Below are 8,307 nucleotides of genomic sequence, written 5' to 3'. Positions count from 1 at the left end.
AGAGCCCTTTCCCAGAAAGCCTGACACCAGTGTCTTTAGACTGGTGGCCATGCTAGTCGCTTTTAACTGGCCAACAGTCACCCGGTATTTAACCCCCAAATTCTAAGGAAAAATAGGACAGGGTAGCAAATGAAAGGGGTCCAATGGTACTCACCACTTGGTGATAGGTGATAGTCCCTTCGTGGTTGCCAAAATGTGTGCAGAATTGGTTCCTTCTGGTGGGTCCTTGGACTCGCTGACTTCAAGAATGAAGCCACAGACCCTCGTGTTGTGTGTTACAGTTCTTAAACGTGGTGTGTCCAGAGTTTGTTCCTTCAGATGTTCAGATGTGTCCAGGGTTTCTTCCTTCCAGTGGATTCATGGTCTCACTTGACTTCAGGAGTGAAGTTGCAGACCTTCACAGTGAGTGTTACAGCTCTTAAAGGTGGTGCGTCTGGAGTTGTTTGTTCCTCCCAGTGGGTTTGTGGTCTCTCTGGCTTCAGGAGTGAAGCTGCAGACCTTCACAGTGAGTGTTACAGCTCTTAAAGATAGTGTGGACCCAAAGAGTGAGCAGCAGCAAGTTTTATTGTGAAGAGTGAAAGAACAAAGCTTCCACAGCATGGAAGGGGACCCAAGCAGGTTGCCACTGCTTGCTCAGGTGTTCAGCTTTTATTCCCTTGTTTGGCCCCAACCACGTCCTGCTGATTGGTCCATTTTACAGAGCACTGATTGGTCCATTTTACAGAATGCTGATTGGTGTGTTTTTACAGAGTGCTGATTGGTGTGTTTACAAACCTTTAGCTAGACACAGAGCACTGATTGGTGCATTTTTACAGAGTGCTGATTGGTGCGTTTACAATCCTTTAGCTAGACAGAAAAGTTCTCCAAGTCCCTACCTCACCCAGAAGCCCAGCCAGCTTCACCTCTCACTAGGACAGCTCACAGAACTCAAAGAAACACTTACTTATGTGTACTGATTTGTTATAAAGAATATTACAAATGATACAAGTGAACAAATGGAAGAGGAAATAGGGCAAGGTACACAGAGAAGGGGCACAGAGCTTCCAGGTCCTTTCTAGGTACATCACCCTCCTAGCACCTCCACATGTTCAGCAACCCAACAGCTCATCAAATCTTGTTGTTCAAGAGTTTTTAAATAGAGTTTAATAGAGCTTAATGTTCATCCCCTATCTCTTTTCCCAGAGGTCAGTGGGTAAAACTGAAAGTTCCAATCCTCTAACCCAATCCTCTAGTCTTTCTGGTGACCAGCCCTATACCATGGCTATCTAGAAGCCCCACCCCAAAATGCTTTCTTAGCATAAACTCAGATCAAAATTGGCTCCTTATGAATAACAAAAGACACTCCTATCACCCTGGAAATTCCAAGGGTTTTAGGAGTTCCATGACAGAAACAAGGGAAAAATGCTAAATATGTTTCATACTACACTACTCATTCTAATTTTGTTTAAAATATTCCTGTACCATATTTCTACACACAACAGTGCAGGATTTCTTTGAATGAAGGACTAGAGATAGAAAACTAAATGAGATTATTCTATGTTTTTTCCAGAAAAAGACTATCTTGGTGGAAGAAAAACTCCAAAACAGGTAGGACTGAAGTCAACTTAAGAACAAAATTTGACATTTGTTTCTTTTACTAGCAAGTATTTTCTATTACATTTTAATAAAAAAGTTGGGGCAAAAAGTTGTGTTAATATATGTTCCAAGTAGAATTTCAGTCCTTAGTCTTCCTATAACTTTTTGTCTTGCTTTTTTCTTCAGAAATATTTTGATCCATATTTAGTCATGGACTAGTTTTATTTCAATTGTGTTTCATCTTTAGCTGTTACATAATATAACTTGTTATAATTCATGCAAGATAATTATCTATTTTAGTGTCTACAAAAAGCACAACTTACTCAGCAAAAGAAAAATGAGCTCATGAAATAAAATCTGGGAAATCCAAACCAATTCTAATCAATTGGTAAGCAATACAAATTTAGTTGAAATTACTTTTATCATATATCAAAATAAAATGAACACAACTATATCTTTAATAACGAGAGATTGAAGCTTATCCTTAATCTTTATCTTTCTTTCCTTGACTTCATTATAATGAGATTAAACAAAATGTTCTTTAAACTTTAATCTTCCCAATTTAAGCCACTTCTGGTTAAGCAAATGTCACACTTTTCTCTTTTCATTTACAGGGTTGCTTCCCCCACCCCACCCAGACTCTTTGCAGTTGCACACTGAAATAGAAGTAGAAATGTTTGGTTCTTGCAAGTCTGTGTACGGTTTGACGATTACCTCTTTCCTAATTTTAATTCATTACCTTCTTCCTAAACTACTTCTTCTTCTTTTTTTTTTTTACACTTTAAGTACTGGGATACATGTGCAGAACGTGCAGGTTTGCTACATAGGTATACACGTGTCATGGTGGTTTGCTACACCCATCAACCCATCAACTACATTAGGTATTTCTCCTAATGCTGTCCCTCTCCCAGCCCCCCAACCCCCCGAGAGTCCCCAATGTGTGATGTTCCCCTCCCTGTGTCCATGTATTCTCATTGTTAACTTCCACTTATGAGTGAGAACACGAGGTGTTTGGTTTTCTGTTCTTGTGTGAGTTTGCTGAGAATTATGGTTCCCAGCTTCATCCATGTCCCTGCAAAGGACATTAACTCATCCTTTTTTATGGCTGCATAGTATTCCATGGTGTATATGTGCCACATTTTCTTTATCCAGTCTATCATTGATGGGCATTTGGGTTGGTTCCAAGTCTTTGCTATTGTGAACAATGCTGCAATAAACATACATGTGCATGTGTCTTTATAGCAGAATGATTTATAATCTTTGGGTGTATACCCAGGAATGGGATGGCTGGGTCAAATGGTATTTCTGGTTCTAGATCCTTGAGGAATCACCACACTGTTTTCCACAATGGTTAAGAACTAATATACATTCCCAACAACAGTGTAAAAGCATTCCTATTTCTCCACATCCTCTCCAGCATCTGTTGTTTCCTTACTTTTTAATGATCACCATTCTAACTGGTGTGAGATGGTATCTCATTGTGGTTTTGATTTGCATTTCTCTAATGACCAGTGATGATGAGTTTTTTTTTTTTTCATGTTTGTTGGCTGCACAGTCGCTCGGATCACAGTCCAATCAAATTAGAACTCAGGATTAAGAAACTCAGTCAAAATTGCACAACTACATGGAAACTGAACAACCTACTCCTGAATGACTACTGGGTAAATAACGAAATTAAGGCAGAAATAAATAAGTTCCTTGAAACCAATGAGAACAGAGACACAACGTACCAGAATTTAGCTGTGTTTAAAGGAAAATTTATAGCACTAATTGCCCACAGGAGAAAGTGAGAATGATCTAAAATCAACACCCTAACATCGGAATTAAAAGAACTAGAGAAGCAAGAGCAAACAAATTCAAAAGCTAACAGAAGACAAGAAATAACTGAGATCAGAGCAGAACTGAAGGAGATAGAGACATGAAAAACCCTTCAAAAATTAATGAATCCAGGAGGTGATTTTTTGAAAAGATTAACAAAATAGACTACTAGCCAGACTAATATAGAAGAAAAGAGAGAGGAATCAAAGAGACACAATAAAAAATTATAAAGGGAAGATCACCACTGGTCCCAAAGAAACACAAACTACTATCAGGGAATACTATAAACACCTGTATGCAAATAAACTAGAAAATGTAGAAGAGATGGATAAATTCCAGGACACATACACCCTCCCAGGACGAAACCAGAAAGAAGTCAAATCCATGAATATACCAATAACAAGTTCTGAAATTGAGACAGTAATTAATGGCCTACCAGCCAAAACCTTTGATAAAATCAACACCCCTTCATGTTAAAAACTCTCAATAAACTAGGTATTGATGGAATGTATCTCAAAATAACAACAATGATTTATGGCAAACCCACAGCCAATATCATACTGAATAGGCAAAAGCTGGAAACATTCCCTTTGAAAATCAGCACAAGACAAGGATGCCCCCTCTCACTACTCCTATTCAACATAGTATTGGAAGTTCTGGCCAGGGTAATCATGCAAGAGAAAGAAATCAAGGGTATTCAAATAGGAAGAGAGGAAGTCAAATTGTCTTGGTATGCAGATGACATGATTGTATATTTAGAAAACCCCATTGCCTCAGCCCCAAATCTCCTAAAGCTGATAAGCAACTTCAGCAGTCTCAGGACACAAAATCAATGTGTAAAAATTACAAGCATTCCTATACACCAATAATAGACAAACAGAGAGCCAAATCATGAGTGAACTCCCAGTAACAATTGCTACAAAGAGAATAAAATACCTAGGAATCCAACTTACAAGGGATGTGAAGGACCTCTTCAAGGAGAACTACTAACCACTGCTCAAGGAAATAAGAGAGGACACAAAGAAATGGAAAAACATTCTATGCTCATGGATAGGAAGAATCAATATCATGAAAGTGGCCACATTGGCCAAAGTAATTTATAGATTCAATGCTATCCCCATCAAACTACCATTGACTTTCTTCACAGAATTAGAAAAAACTACTTTAAATTTCATATGGGACAAAAAAAAAAAAAGAGCCTGTATAGCCAAGACAATTCTAAGCAAAAAGAACAAAGCTGGAGGCCTCACGCTACCTGACTTCAAACTATACTACAAGGCTACAGTAACCAAAACAGCATGGTACTGGTACCAAAACAGATATGCAGACAAATGGAACAGGACAGAGGCCTCAGAAATAATGCCACACATCTACAACCATCTGATCTTTGACAAACCTGACAAAAATAAGCAATGGGGAAAGGATTCCTTATTTAATAAATGGTGTTGGGAAAACTGGCTAGCCATGTGCAGAAAACTGAAACTGGACCCTTTCCTTACACCTTATACAAAAATTAACTCAAGATGACTTAAAGACTTAAATGTAATACCTAAAATTTAAAAACCCTAAAAGAAAACCTAGGCAATACCATTCAGGACATAGGCATGGGCAAAGAATTCATGACTAAAACACCAAAAGCAATGGCAACAAAAGCCAAAACTGACAAATGGGATCTAATTAAACTAAAGAGCTTCTGCACAGCAAAACAAACTATCAACAGAGTGAAAAGGCAACCTACAGAATACAGGAAAATTTTTGCAATCTATCCGTCTGACAGAGAACTAATATCCAGAATCTACAAAGAACTTAAACAAATTTACAAGAAAAAAACAACCCCATCAAAAATTGTTTTTTTTTGGTCAGAGTATTCCAATCTGGCCAAATAAGAACTTTGTTTTCCATACTGGGTTTCTATACCTGGTTTTCCTGAAATGAAGCAAAACTGACCATTCTCAACAGTGCTTAACCTTCTGTTATACACTCACTATTCCTTTTATGGAACGACTTCTAAGCTAAGCTCACAAGAGGATTAGCCTTGGCAAAAATATTCTTTAGAATTGAGTTATTTAAGGCTTGGATGCAGAGTAAGAAGAAAGTCTTGCTTTAGAGAAGTGTTTTCTGTTTGTTCACTCTGAAAATTGACCTGCCAAATGAAGAACCAAAGGGAATAAGCAGATCATATCTGCCATTCATCATATACCATATTTATTTCTCAATTAGAAAATGCACAGTTGGAAGAAATTATGTGAATATCTGCAGACACATATGAATGTTTTTACACCAATAACTTTGCTTTAAATAATTCTCCAGAAATATTCCAATACATGTGACAGAACTGTTTGGAAATCCCAAGTGTTTAGACTGATTGTGAGCATGTCTTTCTGGTGGAAAAGCTGCTGTACTAGCCCTGAACATCAGAAAGAAGCATTTTCTGCAGGAGTTTATTTTTATTTTTTCTTCTTTATTTCTTATGAAAAAATAAAATTGGATACATGTGCAGAACGTGCAGCTTTGTTACGTAGGTATACATGTGCCATGGTGGTTTTCGGCACCTATTGACCCATCCTCTACGTTCCCTCCCCTCATCCCCCCATAACCCAACAGGCCCTGCCATGTGTTGTTCCCCTCTCTGTGTCCACACATTCTCAATGTTCAACTCCTACTTATGAGTGACAACATTCTGCAGAAGTTTAATAATATAGTTTGAGTACTGGTCATTGAAATTTGATAAAAGTTTATAAAATTAGATGTTACAAGCTACTTAAAATGGTTCTCACTGTGTCTTAATTCCAATCTTATCTCCATGGATTCTTCTGTAGTTACAAAATGTACCCAGTATTCTTGAGAACTGGTGTAATAGACATAACACAATTACTGAAAATACCAATTAAAAAGAACAAAAAGAATCCAATTCTATCACTAACATGCTGTGTAACCTTAAGTAAGTCCTTAATCTTTTGGTATCTCATCAGTAAAATAAGGATAATTATATTTAATTTAAAAAATTTTTAGGATTGTTTATAAAATTATAGGACATATTATTATACTTAGGACAGTGCTTGGTACCTAATAGACACTTAGTAAATACTTGGGGAAAAATTGGCTTTCTTTATTTATTCAACAAATATCTATTGAGAGTTTACCTTGAGCTAGGGTCTTATCTAGTTACTTGGGACAAGTCCGAAAATAAAACAAAAAAAATCCCAGCTCTGTTGGGGTTTACATTTGTGTGTGTGTGTGTGTGTGTGTGTGTGTGTGTGTGTGTTTGATATATACAATAAACAAACAGATAAGTAGATTATTGATGGTGGTTTATGCTAATTTAAAAAAAGTGAAGAAATCTCAAAGGAGTAGAGAGCGACAAAAGTAGAGTATGCTTTCTAAGATACAGAGAATCCTCCCTGATGAGGTGGGATTTTAGTAGAGATCAGAATGAAATGAGTCGTATGTATATCTTGAGCATGCTTTGTTGAGAAAAGGAAAGATCAGTGGATCTGGAATCAAAAGATCAAGGAAGGCACGATAGCACATAAAATCAGGGAGGAGGATATGAGTGGGTGTAGTTGGTGCAGGTTTTGCAGGGACCCACAGGTTTTTCTAAAGATTTTGGTTTTTACTTTGAGTCTAATTTTAAGCAAGAGTGATGTGATTTGATTTACATAGAAGAAAACCACTCTTGCTGCTGAAGAATAGACTACACAGGGCAGGAATTAAAACTGAGAAGGCCAACTGGTAGATTGTTGCAATGGCGAAGGTAAGATATGACTGTGGCTTGGATCAGGTTGGAAGCAGTGTAAGTGGTGGCTACAAATCAGATTTAGATATATTGTCTAAGAAGATGGGTCAAGGATTTAGTTATGAGTAATTATAAGGATGGAGATTATGCCAATTTGGCAAAGATATGGGATAAAAAAATTTTGGAAGAAAAATAAAGAATTTTTAAAATATATATTGTGTGCCTTAGTTAATTTGCTTAAGAGGAGTGTTTAGGACTGAAGATATAAGAATGGGTGTTGTCAACATATATTAATAGATAGATTTATTACTCTAAGGAATGATTATCAACAGACCAGAGAAAAGTCAGAATTCTGGGGTATTTTACCTCTCAGGATCTGAAAGAGAAGAGAGCAACTCAACAAAGGAAGCTGAGATGGGGTGGCTGTGAGATAGGCTGAGAACCAAGAAATAGTCATGTACTGAATGCAAGGCAAAGAAAGTGTTCCAAGGACAGAGTGATTAACTGTATTAAACACTGCTGACAGGTCAAATCAGACGAAGGCTGATCATTGACCAGTGAATTTGGTAATATGGAGATCAACTGGACAATACTGTGAAAAACAATATTCTCAGGGCATCGGGAATTGATCAAAAGTGGGCATGCAGACACACACACACACACACACACACACACACACACACTTACACTCACAGAAGCACGAATAATTTTATATTTACCCATATACTTAGGATTTCTGGTGGTAAACTGCAGCCAAGTTCCTGTCTAGTAACATTTTCTTGCTGTCTGAAGGACTTACTTTAATATATTTTGTATGGAAGGTCTACTTGCAATGGATTCTCTCATTTTTTGTTTATCTTCGGATTCCTTTATTTCACCTTTATTTTGAAAAATAGTTGTACTGGATCTGGAATTACTTATTGACATTCTTTCCACACTTTGAATATGTCATTTCACTGCCTTTTGGTCCCACTGTTTCTGACAAGAAGTCAACTGTTAATCATATTGTATTTACCTTATATGTAATTACTTACTGTCAGAATTTTCTTTGGACTTTCACCAGCTTCATTGGATGTGATTAGGAGTGATTCTATTTGTGTTTGTGTATATCTTGCTTCTGGTTTGTTGAGCTTCTTAGATTTTTCTGTTAATGTTTCTCATTAATTTTGGGTACTTTC

The 8,307-nt window shown here is 37.1% G+C and overlaps 1 annotated feature.

Annotated features, from left to right (window-relative positions):
• Positions 303 to 498: a silencer, noted in NCBI's record as "fragment chr8:54372313-54372508 (GRCh37/hg19 assembly coordinates)". NCBI's record gives its function as "represses an EF-1alpha promoter that drives an FKBP-Casp9 reporter gene in an ReSE screen in K562 erythroleukemia cells {active_cell/tissue: K562}" and the evidence as "EXISTENCE:reporter gene assay evidence [ECO:0000049][PMID:32094911]".

Source organism: Homo sapiens, chromosome 8 (assembly GCF_000001405.40).
Source record: "Homo sapiens chromosome 8, GRCh38.p14 Primary Assembly".
In the NCBI taxonomy this organism is placed as follows: domain Eukaryota; kingdom Metazoa; phylum Chordata; class Mammalia; order Primates; family Hominidae; genus Homo; species Homo sapiens.
The sequence above is the reverse complement of the archived record's forward strand: the minus strand, read 5'-3'. Positions and strand labels throughout refer to the sequence as shown.